Source organism: Homo sapiens, chromosome 7, assembly GCF_000001405.40.
Source record: "Homo sapiens chromosome 7, GRCh38.p14 Primary Assembly".
Lineage (NCBI taxonomy): Eukaryota > Metazoa > Chordata > Mammalia > Primates > Hominidae > Homo > Homo sapiens.
The window spans coordinates 8,263,684-8,290,975 of record NC_000007.14 but is presented as its reverse complement, the minus strand read 5'-3'; the positions used below and the strand labels follow the sequence as shown (position 1 = coordinate 8,290,975).

The 27,292-nt window shown below is 38.0% G+C and overlaps 1 long non-coding RNA gene across 1 annotated transcript in view; it reads right to left on the bottom strand.

The window, feature by feature from the left end:
- Positions 1-27,292, bottom strand: part of ICA1-AS1 (ICA1 antisense RNA 1) — an 81,057-nt gene that overhangs the window by 52,306 nt on the left and 1,459 nt on the right. The window contains exon 3 of the long non-coding RNA NR_125740.1: positions 26,296-26,385. This is a non-coding gene — a long non-coding RNA (ICA1 antisense RNA 1). The remainder of the gene's footprint in view (positions 1-26,295; positions 26,386-27,292) is intronic.

The window sequence follows — 27,292 nt, the reverse complement described above, 5'->3', positions numbered from 1 at the left end:
CTCTTTTGGTTCTTCACTCTCCCTTATATCAACCCCTCTCACTAACTGGAAAGCCCCTGGCTGCAAATCAAGAGGCAAATTATTATCTGAACTTTGGTGGTTGGATACAAGGATGAACCTATAAATAGGTTTCACTTTGGAGAACCCAATAAAATGCAACATGGTGCCAGAGTGGCTCTCAAGACCCATGCCAGGTGTGAGAAGCAGGGCTCATGGTATGTGGAGGATGTCAAATCAGTGTTTGTTGAATGAATAAATAAATCATAAATGAACTGGTCTGCAATGCATATCCTCAAGACCACTTGGTATTCCTCAATCCCTATGTTTCTCTGATGAAGGAAATCTTCAGGCAGTATTTCTTTTTCATTCCTTCTCATACTTGAACTTGTAATAGCTATGGGAATTCTATTGTTTCAGCAGAAAAATTCTAAAATGCAGACCTTCCTAAGATCACTAGCTACAGAGTTAGAGGTTTAAGTCCAGGCACCACCACTTGAAGGCTGCGTAACCTTGAGGAGTTACCTAACTTTTGGAGCATTATTTAAACATTTGATAGTATGCTTCCTAAAACCCAGAGATGGGGCACTATACAAAAGAAACACCAAGCTCTGCTCCTGCCTCCCACCTAAAGGTCTCATCACCTTTCTGCCTGGCCAACTCTCTTGCCAATCACTCTTCTAATCAGAAGTTCTGTCTTCTCTTAATTGTCTACAATTACTGTCTAACCTGCAGTCACTGATATTCTTAATAGTTTGTCTTTGAAAGTGAACCTTCTTTCCCAGGTTCTTTTTCACTTGCATTTTCTACAAGGTATTTCATGCTATTTAGCTAACAACATAGTTTCATAGTATTTCCATAGGGCATCCCAAACTTAAATCTAGCATAAAGTAAGGCAATATCATCACTCATGATTCAAGTGAGTCCTCCTGCATCCCCAGCATTCTGCTTGGCTCAGAGCAGGTGTTTTGTAAATATTTGTTCAGTGAAGGAGACTAAACCGAACCAGAAATTGGTTTAGACTTCCATTTTTTATTTCTTTCCTCTTTCTCCTGATTCTTTTCTCATAATCTATAAAGATCTAAAAACTAAACTTTATTTGAAAAGAGTTAATTTTCAGTAAATGAAATAATTTTAACATATCTATCAAGAATTTTTCATGCATCCAGCTTTTCTTTTTGATGTTAGATAAAATTAATGATTTGACCAAGTTGGTGCATAACTAAATGATATTAAGTTACAGCTTACATTCACTTGTTCTCAGTCTGCCATTTAAAACTAAATTATTGCCAGTAAAGATAATCAAGTTTTCTGTAGTTTTTTTTCACAAATCTTGATGATTTGTACACATAAACAAACACATAGACAATTTCACTGGATAGTTTTAGAATTATCAGAACTACTAGTGTTTATTTGGTTGTCCTGTCTATTATTTCATAAATACACTACAGTTCAATTACCTATGTAAGAGATATCGTTGAGATCAGAGTAAGAGAGTTAGTTTCAATATATTTTTTGTGAGCGGCATTAGAAAGATAATTTTTTAAGTTGCTCTTGTAAAGAAACAATAACAAATAAACATAACCTAACACAGTGTCCAACCTGTGATAGGCACTCAATAGATGTCTGGCTGAATAAATGGACACAGAGAAGACAAATAAATGTGGGATATGTAAGTGTATACTTTCTTAAAACTATAGACTACCCTTATATTAGGAGAGGTAGAAGGACATGTTTTTATAGTCAAGAATCTCAAATATGATAAAAATAAATAATGTTCAATTTGCTGCTCAAAAAATAGAAAAGAAGAGGAAAATAATTTAGATCAATGTAAGAATGTTTTCATTCTCCCTTATTAATTTGAGCTAACAGAAAATACAAAAATCTAAGAAGACTTATAGGTTTAATGTATTAAGGAAGGAAGGCACTGTAATTAAATTTTGCAAACAGTATGAATGCCTCTTTAGAAAGGAATTGATAATTAAAATGTTAGTATAAATTGAAAAAAAATCAAGAGCATTGAAAAAATTCAGAAGAAAAAGACAAAATTAATTTGTAAAGACAGATCATTGTGACACAGTAAGTACCAATAATGCAATAGCAGAGAAACACAGCAGGAAGCCAGGAAGGAACTACTTTCACAGTAATAGATTTACAGAACAAAAAAATGTTTTTTAAAAAGAATCATTAGGAAATGTTCTGGAATGATGTGGGTTAACAGAAGCTAAAAGTGACATTTATTTTATAGAAAATAAACACACCGCAGTATGGCCTATGTATAAGAAAGGTCTATTTAGAGTTTATATTTCCTTCTTGTTGAATTTCTTAAGGAGAACTAAATCTAAATTAAAAAATTTCAACTTATGATTTTTAAATTGTATTTACACTAAGTAGTACAACAGATAAAAGGCCAAAGAAAAAATAATAACTTGTTTAAAAAATATTTATCTCTCCATTAAAGTGCTTCATGTTGTTCCAAGTCTTTTAAAACATCAATAAGATGACATGGCATCAAAAAAATCAAAAAGTGATGATATTATCTTCCCAAGTAAGTCCCTTTTCTCTTTGGTAAAGGAGAGAAAAAGTAAACATCATAAGGCTCTTTCAAGCTCACTAGCACTCTTAAATTTACAAACCTGGGGAGGGGGGTCATTTTCTCTGAGGCAAATAATCAAATGGCCAGATATTTTTAAAGGAACATTAATTCTTTATAAATGTAATTTGCTATTTTATTTCTTCAGTGAATACCATTTCATATTAGTGGCCTGAAATAGTTAATGATTTCCTCCTCCCTAGCCAGTGCCTACTTTTCTGACACACTTGATCTGTTCTCTACAATGCAAACCCAAAATTAACTGGAAAAGAACAAAGCTAAACCTTATCATCATCTACAAGAGCGATTCTAAACACATTGACAATCGATCTAGACAAATGATATATAATTTCATATTTACATTTAACTATTGCTTAAAAATACTTTGAAGTATAGTCCTTTACATGTTCAAAGTTAGGACGTTTCTGGTTGACTCACTAAACCAGCATTAAAGTAAAATACATGGTTTCTTTTTAGTTCTGTTTTATTTTTAGTAATGTTGAGCCAAACATCTACTCAGATCAGTAGCAAATCACAAAGGTTACAGGAGCTGAGCTGTCTCCAAATTTTTATGGATAGTAAGAAGAATGAGGGTCCATGATTATGTTCTCTCAGTCTTTTACTTCCTCAGTCTTCTGGATTACTCAATGAATATTTAATAAATGAATGGGTGAGAGAAGGAAAGAAGGAAGAAAGGAAGGGATGGAAAGAGGGAAGGAAGAAGGGAGGTAAGGGGGAAGGAAAGAATTTTGTGATTTAAAAGTACTTAAACCATCTCAAAAATCACTCACACCCAGGTGATGTGAGTTTTCTGGGACACAGCAGGCAGTCCCCCATTTGAAGAAAAAAAAATCTACTTGCAACAATTTTTTCTTGTGGCCTAAATTTTCTCATTCATCAAAAAGCCTTTTATACCACCATCAGTGCAAATGGGAATAGCCCGAGTCACAGTAATTGAAAGTCAATTTCACTCAGCAGCATTTCTCAAATGTTGACCCACAACTGGCAGAGACTTTATGTCAGAGTTTGCCTGAGACAGAGCTGTTTTGCACTTGTTATCTCAGAGTAATTGTCAGCAGCAGCTCACTTCACTCTCCGAAGTCTCCTAGTTTGAAAATAATTTATATGGTCATTCAACCAATGACTAAATGCATTTGACACTCCTGGTTCTTACTAAAAGCAGAGCTTCCTGAGTCCCACCTTGAAATGAATAAATGAGGTTTTTGTTTGTTTGTTTGTTTGTTTGTTGTTTGTTGTTGGTGCAGACCCAGGATAATACATTTTGACAAGCCCTCCTGCCTCCTGCACTGACCTCCTGCTCAGGTTAGGTGGCCACTGGTCTCCCCACAGGGTGCTGGGACCCAGCCAACTCCTTATAGCCTGGAACTGCTGAATTGTTCTTTGGTTTCCAGGTCATGGCTTGATAGCCTGTTGTCACCCCAGTTCCATTTTGAGTAAATGACCTTTTAGACAAACTGGCAATAAAAGTTCTTCAAAACTTAAAAAAAATAAAATAAACAAAACAGAAGAATCACCGCATACCCAACCCCCTGATAATTGTTAGGAATACTAAAGTGTGAGAACCACCGCATTATTATACAATAAAGACTATTATATTTCAATGGGCAAAAACCTGGAAAGGCCAGTAAATAAAGAAAAGAGGCCGGGTGCGGGGGCTCACACCTGTAATCCCAGAACTTCAGGAGGCCGAGGCGGGCAGATCACTTAAGGCCGGGAGTTCAGGACAAGCCTAGTCAACATGGCAAAACCCCATCTCTGCTAAAAATACAAAAATTAGCCAGGCGTGGTGGTACTCACCTGTAGTCCCAGCTACTCTGGAAGCTGAGGTATGAGAATCACTTGAACCCAGGAGGCAGAGGTTGCAATGAGCTGAGATCATACCACTGCACTCCACCGGGGTGCAGAGCAAGACCCTGACAAAAAAAGGAAGGGGAGGGGAGGGGAGGGGAGGGGAGGGGAGGGGAGAGGAGGGGAGGAGAGGGGAGGGGAGGGAAGGAAAAAAGAAAAGAGGAAAAGAGGACAGGGATCTACCATCTTACCATCTTGTCTGGCCACTGCCTGAGACACAGACATGGCTTCCGTTCTTAAGTCCCTATTAAATGTTTCTTTCTAAGAAAATTTTAAGAAAATTAAGAAAAGCAGATGAGGTGACATTGTTGAATAATATGCCTGAAGCCACCAATATATAATTTTGCTTATTTGGCAGGTTTCTCCATGGTCTCTATCCACTGCTGCCAGAACATGTGTCTTTGTCCCAGTGACAGCAAGACTGATGAAATGGCAACATATGAGGAAGCTAGTGCAGGAGAACTTCAACCAGGTTCTGCATGTTTTCATCCTATGCTTGCCATTACTCCAGGTCCATGTGTCTTCACCTCCTGACCTAGTTTTCTCACCAGCCTGGCTAACCTAGGCTACCTGTAAAAAATCGTTCATTCCAGATGGCTGGGTTTTTTCCCTCCACATGCCACCCTCCCTAGTTCCTAATTTTAATTCTAGAAAAATGTATGTTAATTACTCCAGTAATGCTGTTTTTTCCACCAAAGAATTAAGGGAAAGGGGAGAACCCATGAAGGAAGAGATGAACTCAGGTGTCTTCTTCTTGTAGCTTTCTTCTTCACAAATACTTGATAATTTTTAGTTAAAATTGAGGAACCACATCTAAGATCACTATATATATTAAGTAGTCTTTAATTTCCACATTTGTTAATGTTCTTTGGTTGCAAAGAGTGTAAAACAACTCTGGTTAATTTAGGCAAAGAGAGAAGGTTATCAGAAGGATTATAGAGCACTTCATAAAATGCAAGAGAGGAACAAAGGCTCAAAAGGACAAGAAATGGGGACACTCCAGGGCCTCAGTAGGAGTTTACACATCTTCCCATCTCTCTATCTCATCATGCCAAATGTTAATCATCAAAATGAAGAACATAGGTGGTAACTCCCAGACTAGCAGCTATGGCCAGGAAGACAAAATCACAGAGCACAGATGTGATCTCCTGGGGCTATGTCTGTATATAAACAAATAATCCTTCTGAGAAAGGAGCCATGCTTAGCCATAGCCATACAGCTACCCCCAAAGCTATCTGCTACAATCTACCCTCTGGCTGCCCAGAATACACACATGCTTGCTTACTCACATACATATCTTTCTTTACCTGTACCAAAAAAAAAACACCCATAACACATGATTCAACCAATCATCACACAATGGCAATAGAAGACAAGCAAAGTCATTTCCAGCAACTGCACTCAGAGGTGAGACATTGTCCTTCAAGTCTATGACCTCTGACTTATGTCCATTCCTTCTCAGTTATCACAACCCCATCTCAGTATTCTTCAGCCTATGAACTACATGGTGGATTTAATTGATATTTAGATTACATTATATAGCCCTGGGAGAAAGAAAAAGAAAATTTGTTTAATTCTCATGTTTAAAGGAAATGTGAGATAAATAGTATACTTAGCAGCAAATAAGGAAATACTGGGGAAGGCTACTGTCCTCCATTCTGCAAGAACGCATGAGACTGCTGCTGACATATAAAATATGTACTTTCCCTGTTTGCTCCAAGTTCTCCTGGCTTTCAGCCAACACCTCAGCTTGCCAAGCATCTTTGCCCTGATTGTATAAAGAATACAAAATCTCCAGGTGGCAATCTCAGCTGCCAATTCAATAAAACCTACTTTTTTAAAACAAACAAACAAACAAACAAAAACTCTTGCTTGAAGCAGTCCTCCATTGGGTACTAAATTCCTTAGGCTAAAAGAGTTAAGAGAACAATTTTTAAAAATTAAAGCAAAAATTCTAAGAGTGAGAGAATAAGTATAATTGTAAGAGGTGCCTTCATCCCTAGATTCTTAGGTTGTGTTTTGGCTCTGAAAGTAATAACCAATGTATTAGTCATTGTTTCTGCTCATGTTCTATATCTTACAACGTAACACTCCATATCACATCTGCTATTTTCCAAATGGCACTAGGGCAAAGTTTTCAATAGGTCATTTCAATAGCTTCATGAGGATGATTGGATATTTATACAGTAAGGCCAGTGAGTTATTAGCCTATTGCCTTACTTATCAAGTGGTGAGTTCATTGGTCAGAGGCCATATATAGAATCCTGCCGATGTGTTAGTGGTATGTAAGCAGGGAAAGCAAATCCAAGTTCAGAAAGACTATTCCAGTACTGCCACTGGATGAGTGCCACTGGATGAGTTGCTGCCACTCCATGATAAAGAAGCATTCCCAACTTAAAATAACTTTCCCACTACCAGCAGACCAAGTTCCCTAGAGGTGCAGTGACAGTCACTGCTGCTAGCAATATACAGATGCGTCTGGTAAAAGGAAATTTATGCTGTTAGGCCCAAGAATTACCTCCATTCTGGCAATAGCAGCTATTATATCCATAAGCCAAGAAACTGACTGGGAACAGAGGATGTCTGACCCCCATAGAAGAAATCACTTTGTTCTCTTGGATATTAACAAACTGATATGGTTTTGCTATGTCCCCATTGAAATCTTATCTTGAATTGTAGTTCCCATAATCCCCACCTGTCATGGGAGGCACCTTGTGGGAGGTAATTGAATCATGGGGATGGTGTTCCCCATGCTATTCTCACGATAGTAAGTTCTCACAAGATCTGATGGTTTTATAAGGGGCTTCCCCCTTTGTTCAGCTCTCATCCTTCTCCTTCCTGCCATCACGTGAAGAAGGATGTGTTTGCTTCCCCTTTAGCCATGATTGTAAGTTTCCTGAGGCCTCCCCAGCCATGTGGAATTGTGAGTAAATTAAACCTCTTTCCTTTATAAATTACCCAGTCCTGGGCACTTCTTTATAGCAGTATGAGAATGGACTAATACACAAACTCTTCTACAATAATGGCTTCTCAGTGAGGACTCACATTAACCCAGATATTTTCACACTTTGGGCCCATTTTCAATGGTGCATCAACTTTCCTTAAAACCTACTTGTCATCAGTTCTCCAATCTTGATCCTTCTAAGTCTCTGACCGTCTAATCAGACCAGGACTAAAAATGACTCATTGTGTACTCATCAGCTTTAAGCATCTCTAAAATATTGCCCTGTTCCAAGCCCCTGCCCAGTATCCCCACCATTGCCCAAGTCAATCGATCCCTCCCTCAGGGACATCTCTGACTCCCCACAATTCAGAAACCAAAGGGTTAACATCTGGCAAAACTGGACTTCAAGACTAGTTTCAGTGATAGATTCCAATTGTCTTATGTGTTAAATATTTTGAATATCACCTCTGAGCAAATCATTACCTCAGGAATTGGTGTAGATCCTGACCTCAGATAAAGTTGACAATATTTCCTTCCAGGTCAAGTAGACAATGAAATTCATGCTCAGAATCAACTATTGTGAGCATTTTCCTTCTCCACTATACTTCACAGCCACACTGAAGGACAGCAACGCTTCCTCTCATCCTGTCTGGGGCTAGCATATTGTGCAAGGCCATTTGTACACCAGGTTCAAGTTAGGTCTCTCAGTGAAGAACTCTCTCATTGGACCACTAGTCACTGGAAACTCCCATGAAGCATAGGAAGAAAAAGTAATGTAGTAGGAATACGACTGCCTGCTTGTACCGTTTATCTGTGTTTTTAGGCTTCTCCACAGGCTCAGCCTCATAGTTTTTTCTTCCTTTTCAGTTCACTCAATGTGGACTACCGTTGGGAATGCTTGACTTTGTGGCTAAGTACCTGAGACAACACTCATTCCATGTCAGGTATCAAAGTACTGAGATCATCTTACACCAGAGAGTTGGGTCTTTCAGTCTCTATCAGAGCCCAGGAACAAGTCAGGAGTCATGTTTCAAAATAAAGGGTCATCTGCTAAAGGGGTCTTCACATTTTCCCAAACACAGAAGTTCTCCTCTACGATGGCTCTTGTAGGCACTTGTCATGGATGCCATATAGCTCTCCAATGGGCTGCACACCATTTCAGCAGCACCAAATCCATTTGCTCACAAGGGCCAAAGGGCAGAGCTGCTTGCCTTGCAGCCTGAGCCAGCTGGACAGCTACTTCCCACTTTCGGCCTCACTCAAAACAGGCAGCTTTTGGCAGGTCAAGGCCACCCAGAAAAAGTCAGAGTATGACACCCAAAGGTGGCACTACTACTTCTAAAACCTAAAGAAGCCCCCCACACTATGCCTGGTAAATTTTTTAATATTTGCGAACAAATAATTCATTACCTCATATTAATTACAAACTGAATGTCCAACTTCAAAGTGCTAAAATTTCCAAATGCTGCTACTTTATATTAATCACATTTGGTGATTATTTTTCTCTTGCTTCGTTTTATTCCTGATTTAAAATTACCTTGTTTGGAAAAGAACTGGAAGTGCCTTGTCATGTCACCTTATTGCTTCTTTGAATAACATGTTAGCAAGAAGTTACAGAGTAAGACAACATCTTAAGAAGTTCAAGAAGTAAGTTAATCACTTAGCTACGTTCAGTTTTTATGTTGAGTCCATGTGCAGAACTCTGACTATTTGTAAAACTATTTAAGGACCATTCAAAAAAAATCTTAGAATCTTTAGTCCTGCTGTAAGACAAGTAAAATAAATGTTGCCCTGCCTAAGTGGGGAATCATCCTTTGCTATGTTCTTTCTTTGGAAGCCATCGTGGCAAAGATTTTAAAATGTAAATATTTATCAGGTATTTTAAAATAAATCACTTCTTTGTCCATTCTCTTTAACAAAAATCAGAAGTAAGTTAATACCTAAATTTTTATGAGCCATGTTTTAAATGGTTCTCACACAAGTTGATTCTGAGTGCACCCAAGAAGTGCTTCATCTACTTCTGCAAGTATTTATTGATCATTACAACGTGCAGGTTCTATGTGAGGCAATAGAGAAATAAGACTCAGACGACACACCATCAAGAAGTTTATAGCCCAGTGGGGGATATGAATAAGTAAGTATAAAATTACAATATATTAGGGAAGGCTTTCTAAAGGAAATGATGTCTAAGTTGAGGCCTAAAGAGAAAGGTAGGAGCCACCCAGACCAAGATGCTAGTAAATGAAGGGAAGAGAGTATATATAGGGCAGAGCAAGTTATGTGCAAAGACCCAGAAACCACAGAGAGCCTCGCATGTTTGGGTATCAAAGGCAGTTCAGTCAGGCTAGCTCTTAGAACTGGGGTGGTGGTGGTAGTGGTGGAAGAATAGAGAGGGTAATTGAAATATATGAGTGTGGCAGACACAGTTCCTTGCCTACACTACAGCCTTTCTTTCCTTTTACTGCAGACGGAACCTCAGAAAACTGGCAGGGATCCCTTGATTTAGGGACAGCTAGGAAATTAATCAAGGTAATTTTCACTTCACAGTCATGAGTCTAGAGTTGGACATGTGAGCCATTTCTGGCCAATGAGATCTAAGGATAAGTCCACCAGGGCTTCCTTCGAGGCTAAAACCAGACCCTTGATAGGAGAAAGCTTTTGCCCTCTTCTTCCCTGTCTGCAATGCTCACCTAGGTCTTAAAGACAATTTGGAGCTCCTACAACCATCTTGTGATCAAGGAAAAGATCCAAAGAATTGCAAAGAGCTGACTAAGTCACTGTCATTTAGTTGAGCTGATAAACCAACCCTGGAACTGTCTTTGTCAACACTTCTTGATATGTCAGAAAACAGGATGCTTTTATTATTTAAGTCTACTTGTCATGTGTTCTATTACTTTCAGCTAAGCACATTCCTGAGGGTTTTATAAAGACTCAATTGATAAGGCAGTTCCATCTCATGAAGGCCCTTACAAGCTATATTCTAAGGAACACCTTTTTATTTGCAGTGGCAGAAATCTATTTCTATCTGGCTTAGATAAAAGGGGTTCTTCATAAGACTGTATTGGGGTATCTCACGTGATCCGAGGAAGGGTTGGAAAACCAACTTCTGGAAGGACAGAACCACATGAATGAGAGCTTCTAATACCACCTGCAGAATATTCCCTATCTCTGGGCCTGGTGCAGTGGCTCATGCCTGTAATCCCAGAACTTAGGGAGGCCAAGGTGGATGGATCCCTGAGGTCAGGGGTTCAAGACCAGCCTGGCCAACATGGCGAAACCGCATCTCTACTAAAAATACAAAAAATTAGCCAGGCATGGTGACAGAGGCCTGTAATCCCAGCTATTCGGGAGGCTGAGGCAGGAGAATTGCTTGAACCTGGGAGGCAGTGGTTGCAGTGAGCCAAGATTGCACCACTGCACTCCAGCCTGGGCAACAAGAGAGAAATTCCATCATATATATATATGTGTGTGTGTATATATATACACACACACACATATATATACACACATATATATGATGTATATATATCATATATGTATATATGATACATATATATGATGTGTATATATATATACATATATGTATATAGATGTGTATATATATACATATATGCATATAGATGTGTATATATACATATATGTATATAGATGTGTATATATGTGTGTGTGCATATATACATATATATGTGTGTATATATACATATACGTGTGCATATATATACATATATATGTGTGTGTATATTTATACACATATATATACATATATATGTGTGTGTGTGTATATATATATATATGTATTCCCTACCTCTAATCTCTGATCTTCCCCATGGGTTGGTTTAATCCTTTCTCACTACTGACCAGGTTCCTGCACATGGTGAAAAACATGGCCACTGACAGCTCCCAAGCTTCTCCTTTTATAGCTTCTCCTCCCCAGGAAGGACCGGCACATGTGTCCTCTAATATTAAATTTTAAACTCTCATTTTATTTCCATCAGTAAAGAAAGAAGATCCAGGTGGCCAGAGCAATAGATAACCACCTCATAGGGAACCACCAGAAGGTTTGAAGCCAAAGAAAGTCTTTATTCAGTACAATTAAGTTTGTACGTTAGAAAGATGTACCCTTGGTTTAGGTTAGATAATAGATTAGGAGGGTCCTTCCAGGAGGAAGGACAATTGCCATAACTTAAGTGAGAAGTCATAGTGCCTACAAAAAGGTGGCGATGGCTCAGACAAGATTAAAGCTCTTATATAAATAGTGTTAATCTAGCCATTTGTAGTTAGTCCTCCTTTCAAAATCACAATAAGGAATATAACTTGTTTATGGTGGGGTGCAGGGGAGTGGACAGAGAACTGCATATATAATTATAGTTTTAAGTAAAGGCTTTAGAAAGAGATTAATCAAGTTGCCAGCTTCTATCATGATCTACATTTTTGTTTTAAAGTCTACTGTTAAGATTTTGTAGGTTTCAAGTAATGCTGAGGCAATACTTATTAGATGTTGATTTAACATAAACATTGATAAATAACTTGCAAGTGTGTTTAGGACATAAAATATCAAAAATGAAAATCCAGTGATCCAAGCTTATCATGTGTTCCTACCAACCTAACAAATTTTAGTAGAAAATCATTTGCTGCATATTTTGCAGAAGGAACACAGTTTATCTGAAATCAAAGGCAGATGACAACTCAGGCTGTATATATTAAGATGCTAGTAAATGAAAGTAAACTGCTCAAAATAAAAGCATAGTCATGAAACTAAAGAAGACCAAATACAATTGTACATAATAGTAAAAAACTTAACCCAAGATAATTAACAAACATGCTATTCTTGCAACTTAAATATGAATGGGTGATTTCACTGTTATTGATAGGATTTCAGAAAAATATTTTCTTCTTTTTAGTGTCTAAATCTGATCTACATGGGTGTTTCTTCAAGAGTGGATCACAAACCAACACAACAGGGAGAAAAGACAATAGATGGAAGAGGTTACGTTGAGGAAAGAAAAGGTAACAGAGGAGGAAGAGGAGGATAGCCTCAGTGTAAACCAATAAATAGTTACTGCGTGTCCCAGGTTCCATGCTAAGATTGGCAACATAAGTTGGCAGGTTTCTGCTGCAAACTTACCAACCAATACTTGGTAACTCCTCAGGGTTACTGAGCCAGATATGGCCTGAATAAGAGCACACTTATCACCATTTACACAAAGATGAAGCACAGGAAGAAGGGAACACAGTTTCTTACAGATCTGCACCTGGACTCTGTGAGCCCTCTCTCTGTATTCTCTACCTTACCCAGGCTGCTCCAGCCTCTCAGTGCCAGAGTTAGTGGTTCTCAAAATATGGTGTGTATCAGAATAACCTGGGGAGATGGCTTACAATGTGCAATTATTGGCCTCACTCCAAGAATTGATCCATTAGTTCAAGATAGAATGCACATTGTTAATGAACCTCTCAGGTCTACTTGCCCACACTGAAGTTTAAGAACCTCTGCCCTAAGGAGAGAGCTTCACGCCCATGAGGGAATCATATATTCTCTGACTTTTTAAAAAGGCAAGTCGTGGTCATAGTCATTGGGGAGGTTTGAGTATATATTAAGATACATTTTAAATAAAAATTGTAGGATTAAATATTAAACAGTAGTAGAAATAAGAAATGGGACCTATGTGAATTTAAAGACTTTTAAAAACTATTCTAAAATTGTTTCTGCTTTACATGATGAAGAGATTATTTTTGACATTAAAAAGTAGAACGTCTATGACTAAATCTGGTAGATATAGCAGAAGGCCTAACCAGAAATATCAAACTCACCGTGGTTAACAACAGGGCATCAGAATCACATGCTGATCTTTATAAACTTATAGATGCTACATACAGTCCCACTCCACACCTATTGAATCAAAATATCTGGGGATAAAGCCCAGCCAAGAAAAACTTTGATAGCTGGCAGGGCTGAGATCTCCTGCTTTCAACCAGGACAAAGACACTACTGCCACCTGATGGAAATGTACCTAAATTGTAAGGACAGCTTTTGGAATGGTAGTTTCCTTTGCGAGCTGAATCTAAGCTAATCTGTTGAACTGGCAAACACAATGATAACCATAAAAAATGTAAATATACAGAAAAATACAAAAATTTCTAACTGCACATTTGTTAATTTTTATGGAAAATATTAGGACTGGGAGAGGTGGCTCACGCCTGTAATCCCAGCACTTTGGGAGGCTGAGACGGGTGGATCATGAGGTCAGGAGATGGAGACCATCTGGCTAACACGGTGAAACCCCGTTCTCTACTAAAAATACGAAAAATTAGCCAGGCGTGGTGGCGGGCACCTGTAGTCCCAGCTACTCGGGAGGCTGAGGCAGGAGAATGGTGTGAACCCGGGAGGCGGAGCTTGCAGTGAGCCGAGACTGTGCCACTGCATTCCAGCCTGGGCGACAGAGCGAGACTCCATCTCAAAAAAAAAAAAAAAAATTTGGGCTGGGTGCAGTGGCTTATGCCTAGGCAGAAGAATGACTTGAGCCGGGAGTTTGAGACCAGTCTGGGTAATATAGCAAGGCCCCATCTCTATAAAAAATTTAAAAATTAGCCAGGCATATGGGTGCGGATCTGTAGTCCTACCTACTCAGGAGGCTGAGGTGGAGCACTTGAGCCCGGGGAGTTCGATCCTGCAGTGAGCTATGATCATGCCACTGCACTCTAGCCTGGGTGAGAGCAAGACCCTGTCTTTATAATACATTTAAAAATATAAATAAAATATTTGAAGCCTAAAATAGAATGTGTTAGGTTTATACGGAGTTTTGTCATGTATAAAGTATATTCACATGCATTAATTAGATTAACTCTTCATTATATTTTAGGAGGGGAGTTATTAGCACATTTTATATATGAAAAAACTGGCTTAGAGAGGGTAGATGATTATCCCAGCTGTTCCAAACTTGTCTGCATGTTGGAACCACCTGGGGAGCTTCAAAGAGTACTCATGTCTGTGTGGCAGCCCTAAAGATTGAGATTTAGTTGGTCTGGGTGTGGCCTAAGTTTTGGGATTTTTAAAAGATACCCTTTGATTCTAATGTGCGGAGAGTTGGGGAAAAACTAGACTAGCCTCCAATCACCTAGATGGTAGTGAATGAAACTGGAGTTCAGGTGTTTTGACATCAAATTAATACTCATAGAATTATATTTGACATAAAGCTCAAATATAATAATTATCCTCAACTAATACCCATTGAATTTTACGATAGAGAAGGGTTTTCAGATTCTTCTGGCCATAAGAATCAGCTGAGTTAGTTGTCAAAAATGTAGAATCTCAGGTCCCTCTACCAAAGTTTTCTATTTGGAATTGCATGTTCCCAGCCATAAATGGGTGCTAAAATTGTGTACACATAGACATAGTGGAATGATAGGCAATGAACACTGGGAAGGGTGAGAGGGTGGAAAGGGGGCAGATGATGAGAAATTAATTAATGGGCACGTTATTCTGGTCATGGGTACCCTAAAAACCCTGACTTGACTACTACACAATCCATGAATGTAACAAAATGGCACATGTACCCCATAAATTGTACAAAAAAAAAATCTGATTTCGAAGGAGCCTGGTGAGTGTACATATTTCACAAGTGTTTACCTGATTTGGGGGATAAAGTAAATTTGGAAAATCTATAATAGAGAATATCAGACCATGTAGTATTATAAAATAGTAGTATTGAGTATCAAAGTTTGGTTTGAAAAATGGCTAAGAATTAATGGAGAGACTTTATCAAAACACAGCCAAGAGAATTAACACCCCACCCTCAGAGGGTCTAGTTGTATACAAACTATTCACTCATCCATTAATTCAACACACTTTGATTAAACACCTAACATTGTACATTCAAGGCACTATGGTGGATGTGTAAGGGAACACACAAGCTGGGCAGAGTCTTTGCCTTCAAAGACCTAATTGCCTAAGTATATCTCTTGTGGGAGAATGCATAATGTTTGAGCTGGGTCATGGTTATAGGTCCAATGGCTCTTGTTTTTCTAAGTGAGAAAGATTTCATTTAAGCTTGCTTCAGCAAGCATTTATTCAGAGCTCTAGTAACTGTTTGGGACATACAGATAAAGTTGCAGTAGTAATGGTGGAAGTGGAAAAGGGAGGGCCAGGGGTTTCTTGGGGACTCCAACCTGGAGTTGAAGGACACACTACAAGTTTGGCGTTGGCAATAGGAGACAGTGATTGTTCTTGGTAAATATATGTCCAGGAAAAGGAGGAGGCTGAATGTGGGGGGTGGTGACCAGGAGAGGACATGCATAAATTAGTATTAGAAGGTGAGAGGTGAATAAAGAAAATTAGGACTGATAAAGGCTTCGAATGTTTAGATTAGGTATTGGATTTTGAGGTAACCCGTTGAAAATTTTATAGTTGGGACTGAAGCCAATCAAAATATTATGTAATTAGCTTCATACTTAAAGAGTAACTCAAAGACCTGAGTTGTCTTCTATTACTTGACATATCATCTCCCATCCCACCACAACCCACACACACATTCGATTCTTAGCATAAAGTAGTCACAAAAAGTATGCAAATTATGTATTTTGTGATTACCTAAGCTGATTTTGTATTGGTTAAAATACACAATCCTAGGTGGAAGATGTTTTTAAATTCCAGGTAAGAAGCAGGGTTAGAAAGGCAATGGAAATAAGAATGAGAAAAATGGATATGACAGCTGAGAGACACTATAAAGGAAACTGCAATTTCCTGTAGTGAATCATAGACTTGTAATGAACCAGAATTTAGCAACCAATTGAGCACATAAGGTAAACTACTAGGAAGGAATTCAAAATAACATTGAGGTTTTTAAGCTTGCCGAGATAAGAAGAAAGAGCTCTGAGAGAAAAAATACTTTTCGGTCACATCAAGTTTGAGATAATAAATGCTTACTGAATGAATGATAAGCCATCCTACTACTCTGGGAATAAAATAGAAAACCCTAGTTATACAGATATAAAAAAATCAGTTCATGCTCCTCCCTTCCCATCCACATCTGTACAACCTTAGGCCGCCAAAGAGGTGATGAGACTCCTAGAGCCACTTCTAGCCTTTTCAAATTCCAGTGTCTTGCTGCAGGTCTCCTATATCAGCTCAAGGATGTCACCAAGGAATAAAGTCACTTGAAATATGAGAAATATAAGAATAAGCCAGTGTAAGGGTCTCTCCATCAGGGAGTGTCCAAGATTTACCTAAGCAAGTCATATTTGTCATGGCAGCGGCAGCAAGAGGGGAGGAAGTCATGGACTTTCAGCACTAGAAGACTTTTAGCACTAGACTAATCTCAAAGGTTATTAGAAGGTCATTAGAAGAATTGAATATTACACAGTAAGGAATTTCAGACGTCATCTAAACTAGTATTTCCCAACATTTTCAAATGTGAGGATCTCTTTTATTTTGTTCTGGTGTCAAAATTTAAATCTTTATTTTTGTCAATTACAAAATACTATATGTGCACTTTAAAAATTCAAACACTACCAAAGAGTATAAGTGAAAATACAACTTTCCCCCACCTCCAATGTCAGCCAAAAAAAGATCACTCTGCAGAGATAGCTTCAGTTAACATTTTAGTGAATATCATTACAAGATTTTAATGTTACATAGAAAATATTTGCATAAACAAAATCATATTTCACACTGTGTTATACAAGCTGCTATTTTCACTTGAAAAAAAAATCTTGACCTCATCCTTTCAACAGCTGTCAATGTTCCAACATGTAAATGTACCATAATTTTGTTAACTAATCCTTCCTTTAGATGGACGATTACTATTATTATTATTATTATTTTTTTGAGATGGAGTTTCCCTCATTTTCCAGGCTGGAGTGCAATGGTGCGATCTCAGCTCACTGCAACCTGCGTCCCCCAGGTTCAAGCGATTCTCCTGCCTCAGCCTCCCAAGTAGCTAGGATTATAGGCACTTGCCACCACACCTGGCTAAGTTTTTGTATTTTTAGTAGAGATGGGGTTTCACCATGTTGGCCAGGCTGGTCTTAAACTCCAGACCTCAGGTGATCCACCCACCTTGGCCTCCCAAACTGCTGGGATTACAGGCCACCGCACCCAGCCAAGATGGACAAATTTTTTAACGGTATAAACTGTGTTGTTGTGATTGCCATATTCACACATTCACTACTATAAACTTCCATATTATTTCGGCAAGAAAAAATTCTAAGTGGACCTACTGGGTCAAAAGATATGTACTACTAACATTTTGTAATATTACCAAGTTGCCTTCCATAACGGGTGTAAAATAAAATTGTTTCTTTTCTCAGTTTATGAGAGTATGACAATGCTCATCTCCCATATTCTCATCAACCCTGAGCATTACATTTTTCATATTTGTCAATAAGATAGGTGAAACTGGTTTTGTTTAAACATTTTTTAGTTAAAAAATGTGGGTTTTAAAAACGTTTATCATTGCAATTTCTCCTTGAATTGCCTGTTTCTGGTTTTTACTCACTCTTCAGCTGAAGTGTTCTTGAGGATCTTTTTTTTTTTTTCTTTTTGAGGCAAAGTCTTGCTCTGTCACCCAGGCTAGAGTGCCGTGGCACAATCATAGCTCACTGCAACCTTGAATTCTTGGGCTCAAGGGAGCCTCCTGCCTCAGCCTCCTGAGCAGCTAGGACTACAGGCATGTACCACCACACCCGGCTTTTTTTTTAATTATTATTTTTATTAGAGATGAGGTCTCACCATATTGCCCAAGCTGGCCTTGAACTTCTGGCCTCAAGTCATCCTCCCAACTCGGACTCCCAAAATGCTGGGATTACAGGCATGAATCACTGCACCCAGCCTGAGGACCTTTTTTAATATCAGAGAATTCCTAGACCCTCCTCAAAAAAATAGTAGAAATGCATATACTATATATCAAATTTATATCAAATGCATATAAATATATATCAATGCATATAATATAGATCAAGAAATACATAATGCAAATTCTTTAATGGAGGGACTTTGACTTCTGATCAAAATGGAATAACAGTGACCAGATTTATGTTCCCTCCTGAAATAGCCAAAACAGAACAAATGCTACTCAAAATACTGGATATTAGGCAAAGAAGAATGGTCATCCCTTGGAGACAGATGAGATGAACTCTATGCTTTCCCTAACTTAGCACCTGGAAAAAGTTTCCGGGCCATGCTAGAAAAAGTGGGAACCCAGGAAGAGCTTGGCAGTCTCAGTGAATTAAGAGATGGAGCTCAGAATATAGCCAAGATGGACTGGGTTTGCAAGGCAAGGTACCAGAAAGGAGACAGTTGTACAGAGAGAAAATTCCAGAGATCTACAGTTTTCCCCTCCAGTATTCAGCTGAGTATGAATCAGCCCATGCAGATGAGGAAAGTCCTAGAGACCAGGGAAAGAACCATCAGAAAGGATGATAAAGAACAGTGCCCCCAAGTCTCACACCAATCTGACAGCAGTGCCTGTTTTCAACAGCCAAAGGGGAATTCCTCATATATCAGGGGGCATCAGTCTGTTAGAATATAAATAATGCTATTGCCTCAATAGTAGAGAAATATAACCCCTGACTAAACACAGCTCTGGTCTCACCTAAAAAAAGCTTGAAAGCAAAACCAAAAAGGTTCAATTTGTTTTCAAGTAACCTAACCACATGCAGAACAAGGCTCAAAAATATTTTAGAAATACAGAAGTATGTACTATGCAATAACATAAAATTTACCGTGTCTGCGATCCCATTAAAAATTATAGGAAATGGAAAGAAGCAGAAAGATACAAACATAATGAGAGTAAAATCAATCAATTGAAACTGACTCATAAATGATAAATTATAAAATAAGTAGACACAGATTTTAAAAGTTATTATGATTGCATTCATATGTTCAAGAAACTAGAGGAAAGACTGAACACAGTAAGTACAGACATGGAAAATATTTAAAAGACCCAAATTGAACATCTACAGATAAAAACTACAATTGATGAGGTAAAAAAATTCACTGGATAAAATTAATAGCAGAACGGACTTTGCTAAAGAAAGGGTCAGTAACACTGAAGACATAGCGATAAAAACTATGAAAAATAAAAAAGACCAAAAAAAAACAGAACATAAGTGAATTATAGGACAACTTCAGACAGTTAAATATATGTGTAGCTGGTCTCCAAAAGAGAGGAGAGAAAAGGAGGAGCCAAAAACATTTTCGAAGACATAAAAACTGAAGAATTTTAGATAATAAAGTCTTTTTAGAACAGTTTTAGTTTTACAGACAAATTAAGCAAAAAATACAGAGAATTCCCATACATCCTTAAACACACACTCATATTTTTGGCAATTATAAATAAAACTGCTACAAACATTCCTGTACAGGTTTTTGTGTGGACATGTTTTCAACTCATTTGAGTACATACCAAAGAGTGCAATTGCTAGCTCATATGGCAAGAGCATGTTTAATTTTATAAGAAACTGCAAGACCGTTTTCCAAAAGTGGCTATACCACTTTGCATTCCCACCAACAATGGAGATTTCCTTCATCAGCATTTGGTATTGTCGGTGTTTTGGATGTGGGCCATTTTAATAGGTGTGTAGTGGTATTTCATTCTTTTAATTTGCCATTCCCTAGTTATATATGATGCTGTGCATTTTATATATTTGTCATCTGTATATCATCTTTGGTGAGGCATCTGTTCAGATCTGTTGCCACTTATTTTTGAGAAAGGATCTCACTCTGTCATCCAGGCTTGAGTGCAGTGGCATGATCCCAGCTCACTATAGCCTTGACCTCTCCAGGCCCAAGAGATCTCCCATCTCAGCCTCCCAAGTAGCTGGAACTACAGGCATGCCACCGCCACGCCTGGCTTTTTTTTTTTTTTTTCTTTTTGAGGGACAGGGTTTCACCATGTTGCCCATGCTGGTGTTGAACTCCTGGGCTCCTGTGATCCACCCTCCTCAGCCTCCCAAAGTGCTAGGTTTACAAGCATGAGCCATGAGCCACCACGCCCAGCCCTTTTGTCTATTTTTAAAATTGGATTATGAATTTTCTAATTGTTGATTTTAAGAGTTGTCTATTTTGAATAATAGTCCTTTATCAGATATATTTTTGAAAATATTATCTCCTAGTATATTGCCTTGTCATTCTCTTGATGGTACCTTTTGCACAACAGAAGTTTTTAATTTTAATAAAGTCCAATTTATCCATTTTTTTTTTGTGAATTTTGCCTTTGGTATTGTACCTAAGATGTTACCATCAAACCCAAGGTCATCTAGATTTTCTTCTATATTTATCTTCTAGGGGTTTTATACTTTTGTGGTTTATACTTTGATCTATGATTTATTTTGAGTTAATTTTTCTGCAAAGTGTAAGAGATGTGTCTAGATTCATGTTTTTGCATGCGGATGCCATTTGTTGAAAAGACTTTTTTTCCGTTGACTTGCCTTTGTTCCTTTGTCCAAGATCAGGTGACTATATTTGTATCTATTTTTGAACTCTCTATTCTGTTCCATTGGTCTATTTGTCTATTATTTTGCTGGTGCCACACTCTTGATTACTGCATATTTATAGTAAGTCTTGAAGTCAGGTAGTATCAGTCCCTCATCTTTGTTTTTCTCCTTTGATATTGTGTTGGCTATTCTGGGTATGGATAGAGTTTTTCAAAGTTTAATTTTAACCATAAGCCCACAGCTCCAAGAAGCTCAGCAAAGCCAAAAATGTAAGAATAAACAACACTAAGGACATCATAATCAAACTGCTTAAAACCAATGATAGGGAAAAAAAAGTCTTTAAAGCAACCATTGAAAAAAAAAAAAGAGGGCCAAAAATAATGATAATAGAAGATTTCTCATTGAAAACAATGCAAGCCAGGAAACAATGAAGCAAAATCTTTAAAAGTACTGAAAGAAAAAAAGTCAATATAAATTTCCTTAGCAGTAAAAAAATTTTCAAAAACAAAAGCGAAATAGAATTTTTCAGATGTACAAAGCTAAGAGACTCATCAATAACATACCTTCATTTCAAGAAATACATTAATGGTTTTAAATAAATTTTATTTTGTAATCACATCATATACATTCCAAAAAGTGTTGTTTCTGTTTGTCAAGCAAGTGGTTCTGTTTGTGGGCATTACTTGTTAGGGATTTGAATCCTAGGATCCTTTGTGTCACCACCACAGACCCTCATGGTCCTGGGACCCACAGATCGAGAATCATTGTTTCAGAATACAAACTTCATGAGAAATGAAGGTCCAATCCAATGTCATGGGGCAGACAACTGGATTGATGAGGATAAAGGCTGAGCTGCAATAATATTTTTAAAATATAGTGACTTTATTTCCTTCTCATAAAACAATCCAGGCAGAAGGGCCAAGGCAATATGGCAGCTCAGGGGGGTCAGAGGCCCAGGTTCCTTGCCATTCCCAAGGTGTTGCCCTCACCTGCATGGCCAAAGGCGATCTAACCAGTGGGAAAGGGAGAAAGTAAAGATTAGGATGTGTTTCTTTCAAGGGCAGGACACAAAAGTTATATGCATGTCTTTCCATCATATCCTATTCACTACAACCTAGTCACATGACCACACCTTGCAACAAGGGAAGCTAAAACCAATGTAACTTAGCAATAATGTGCTCAACTGAAACTTATATTACTGTAGAAAAGGGGAAGAATAAATATTGGGGAAATGATTAACAGTATCTGCCAAACAAGTTTGTGACTGAGTTAAAACTGGAAGAGGAAAAGCTCATCAGATTGACGGTTAAGAAACAGGAATTGCAGTTGCAATTCAGCCTCTTATTCCATGATTAAACCAAATGTTTGTCCATGTTTCACCTGAACTACCTTAATTATCTGCACCCGAATTTTCAGTGATTCTTCCCAATTGTCCCTGTGTAGGGGGAGCGAGCTATACGAAGAACCAAGAGAGTTTCATCCTAATTTTTTAGTTAAATCCTGTTCTTTATTGGACAGTGTGACCCTCTGAGGAGTCATTAGCTCTACATCTATGAAGACTAGGGCTCAGCTGTGAACTCTGGGCTTATGCTAGGCCAAACTCCAGCATAGTTCCTAGTCAGAAGCAGGATTCTACTCTATGGCACATGACAAAATTCTCCAACTGCAGTGAATTAAAAAAAAAAAAAAAAAAGTCCCATTTTGATGCCATCACCAGCATTTTCTTGCAGAAGTTCCAATGGATGATACTAGGGGTGGTGAGATGGAGAGCAGCATTATTTATGCAGAAATCTAAGCTGATGTGATAATGAAAATAATTACCTTTCTTTTAGTGTAAAACAAGGCTCCTCTCTTCATTATAGCCTTAATTTTGAAAGGAAAGGAAGTTAATTTTAATTAATAAAAGTTAATGCTACTAATTAAACATTTGTTCTATTTTCACATGCACACACAAATCTGCCTAAAGATATAACTAGCTCTGCTGAGGGTATAACAAAAGCTTTGTTTTGCTACATAGAAAGTACAAATGTCACAGGAATTAAACTGGCCAAATTAGTCCATATTCTTGAGTAAATCCAAATTTGTTTTTAAGGATTACACAATCCAGGAATAAATGACTTTATTTTTATTAATAAAATTTGATGTAATCTTTCTTTACATTTATAACACCCTTTAAATTTATAACACCTGTAGAAATTGCGGAGTCTCGCTCTTTCGCCCAGGCCGGACTGCAGTGGCTCTATCTCCGCTCACTGCGAGCTCAGCCTCCCGGGTTCACGCCATTCTCCTGCCTTAGCCTCCCGAGTAGCTGGGACTACAGGCGCCCGCCGCCGTGCCTGACTAATTTTTTGTATTTTTAGTAGAGACGGGTTTTCACCGTGTTAGCCAGGATGGTCTCCATCTCCTGACCTCGTGATCCACCCGCCTCAGCCTCCCAAAGTGCTGGGATTACAGGCGCAAGCCACCGCGCCTGGCCGATTTTAATAATTTTTAAACATCATTTTTTCTAAGTTTGTTCTTCTAGATTATCTAATTTTAATCTCTCAGCAACTCTAAAGAGAAAGTGATTGTTTTTCTTATTAATGAGCTGAGCTCTGGAGAGATTTATATGTACGGCTCTTATTAAACACATTGATAATGATAATAGCTTAAGCTCTGTCTCAACATCCCCTACTATAGAACAGGTACAATGAGTACTTATGATGCTGCCAAACGTGAATCAGGAAATAAAAAGATTGCAGAACTGTAGGGGCTTATAAACATCTGTCTAGAAGGAATGGTAGAGGGTTCATTTGCCTTACAGTATCCACACACCAAGAGAAAGGGGCATTCTGCCTCACTTGCTCACGCTGGCTGAGATCTAAGACCATAAGGAACATTGAGAACATCAAAAATATGTATCAACAATGCAATAAAATAGACCAGATCATATGTAAATGAGTAGTTTGTATTTGTATGTCCATATATAATTTATATAAATACATATACATGCAAGAGAGATATTAGTGAATTCAGTCTACATGATAATCAACGTCAAATCAGAGATGGCCTATGGATTAAGTTCCACTTGAAACAAATAAATATATATTCCTATGTATTAGGAATATGACACTGTTTCAGTCACATGAGATGAAATACATTGCTAATTTAATTCATTTTAGATTACCTCAGAGGGAGAAGAGGGACAGTAACTTGGCAAACACTAAGAAGCCTTGGAATTACTCAGCTAAAAGGATCCCTTAAGACATAAGACCATTAAATAGCTCCTGAAAAACTTATTTCCTATATGAATATTCCTATAATTTGCTCATTCAAAATAACTGGCATTAATTTGAAAATATCTCTGAAATGAGTGTTCTTTTTGAAGAATTAAGATAGAATTTTGGGGCTTTAGTGTCATAATTCTTATTTTGTTTTTTTGCGGGGGGGTTTTACTGCAAGTGCAGATTTGGGGCGGGTAGAGTGGGGAGCTGGTTTTGTTTTACCTTCAGTGGTATCCTCCATTAATATTAACTTATCAGGACAAACTTATCACTTTACCTCCTTGTTATTATTAAGTTCAATTCCATAAAATTCATTATTATCTGTGTTTGCGCTTATCCAAAAGGATTGTTTTGGTAGGCAGTCTGCTTCTTCCTTCATTTAAACAGGGATAGCTAAGAAGGCTGAGATGTTATAAGACTAGAGCACACTTGCAAAATATTTGCGCAGCAGGAACTTTTCTTTATATTATCATGAGGTATCCAATGGATGGACCTGAAATATTTCTCTTTCATTAACAGATTTTTCTGTCCTGTTTCCTCATAATTAGCTTCTTAGCGCCAGTAGAATTTGAATAGTATCCAGAAATCTGAAAATAAGTCACATATTTGGGGGTTTGTTGTATGGTTCTTACCTTGTAACTATTCCTGAGGAAGATACTGGATTTACTGTGTACATGTGTGCACACATGTGTGTGTGTGTGCCAATAAAACTATGAACCCCTTTTTTTTTTACTTTTTAAACAGCTTTACTGAGACATAATTCACATACCACTAATTCACAATGAATTGTAAAATGCACAACTCAATGGTTTTTAGCATATGGCAGATATTTGTAAACAACACCAGTCAATTTTAAAACATTTTCATCACATGAAAAAGAAACTCTTAATCCTACTACTTTGGGAGGCCAAGGCAAGTGGATCACTTGAGGTCAGGAGTTCAAGACCAGCCTGGCCAACATGGCAAAACCCTGTCTCTACTAAAAATACAAAAATTAGCTGCGCATGGTGGCACATGCCTGTAGTCCCAGCTACTCAGGAGATTGAGGCAGGAGAATCCCTTGAACCCAGGAGATGGGGGCTGCAGTGAGCTGAGATCGTGCCACTGCACTCCAGTCTATGCAACAGAGTGTGACTCTGTCTCAAAAAAAAAAAAAAAAAAACCAACCAAACAAAAAATACCAAACTTAGCTGGGCATGGTGGTGCATGCCTGTAATCCCAGTTACTCAGGAGGCTGAGGCGGGAGAATCACTTGAACCCGGGAGGCGAAGGTTGCAGTGAGCCGAGATTGTGCCACTGCACTCCATGCTGCAGGACAGAGCAAGACTCTGTCTCAAAAAAAAAGAAAAAAGAAAAAAGAAAAAAAGAAGATAAAGAAACTCTATACTCTTTAGATCTCACTCCCTATTCACCCATACTCTCTCCAGCCCTAAATGATCACTATTGTACTTTCTGCCTGTACAGATTTCTCTATTTTGGACTTTCATATGAATGGAATAATATATTTGTGACTGGCTTCCTTCACTCAGCATAATGTTTCAAGTTTTGTCTAAGTTGTAGCATATGTCAGTATTTCATTCATTTGCATGGCTGAATATTCCATTACATGAATATACTACATTTTGTTTATTCATTTGTCTACAGCAGGACAGCTTTGACCTTTTGACTGTTTTGAATAATGCTGCTATAGACATTTGTGTACAAGTTTTTGTGTAGACATAGGTTTTTATTTCTCTTGGATATAGACCTAGGAGTGGAATTGTTGGGTCACATGGTAGCTCTATGTTTAATCGTTTAAGGAACTTTCAGACTGTTTTCCAAAGTGGTTGCACCATTTTACTTTCCCACCAGCAGTTTCCACCACCAATTTACATCCTCGCCTGGGTTTACCTTTGGGCAATCTTGCTTTGCCTAGGATGGCAGAATAGAATGACAGAAGGGCAACAGCCCAGTGACACAGTGGAGATCGCACCAGCCCTAGACTGCCTACCTTCCAATTTAAGTGAGAAAAAATAAAGCCCTATTTCATTTAATCCACCGCTATTCCAAGTCTCTGTTAGTAGCTTAACACAAATCCAACTCTTGTGGTCCTATTAGCATATCTTGAATCTGGGAAGCTCTTGAAAAAATTATTGAATTGAATATGTAAAGATTTTTTTCATAGAAAATTTTGTCATCCTGTTGTACACTGGAAAACGCACCTTATTTCTCTCCTAATTTCTGATCCCATCATTCAATAGCCATTCTCCTTAGAAACTGTTTCGGGTTCTCACTAGCACCTTACTGGTGTTCTGCAAGATGGAAACAACAGCTGGTTATTCAGAAACAAATGCAAGTGTTATTGATGGAGCCATTTTATTTAAGGGGAAGGAAAAGTACTCATTGTGGTGATGGAGAATGAGCAGGAGTTGTCTATTATTTCCTTTCTCAAATATTATGCTAAGTGTTAGGACAATAATTAGAATGAAGAAAAATCAGTTAAGGTTTTCTCCTAAACTCTCCGGGAGCCCAAAGAATTTCAGTGCCATGTTGACTACATAATGCTTGTATCATGTATTTGTTCTCTTTTAGACATTGCTTTTGAAGCCACTTTTAGCCTCTGTAACAGGTTAGACTCACAGTCATCGTTTTCACCTTGGAATTCAGAAAGCATAAAAGAAAACTGCGTAATCAGTTGCAGCTCAGCTGTCCCCGTTTTTTCCCTTCATGCTTTTGTTCCAATCATCTGCATTTTGAGGGGATACTTTGAACACACACACAACCTCCCATTCTACTGGCTGTTTTGTAACAGATTTAAATATTTGCCCCAAAGCCAGCCTTTGACCAATGGGGCTTCTGATTAAGTTTTCATGTAACTGGTAGAAAGGAGAACATTACAGAGTCAGGAAAAACTTTTCAGGTGATTTAGTCCTTTCTCAATGCTTCAATTAACTGATGATAACGCTCAGTCAACATTTATCGGGCACCTATGATGTTCATTACGGCACTTCATTCTGTTAAAGAATAATAATCTCTTTATCCTTTTAACTCCCGATAATAGCTTTTTACACATAAATTTACAGTTCTTGGAATCAATGTATCTTAACATATCTTAATCATCTTTCTTTTGTAAGGAAGACTTTCTCATTTTAAAGGCTTTGGGTTTTTTTTCTTACAGCAAAATCATTTGGCTTGCGTTGTTAACACGTTAGTTTGAAT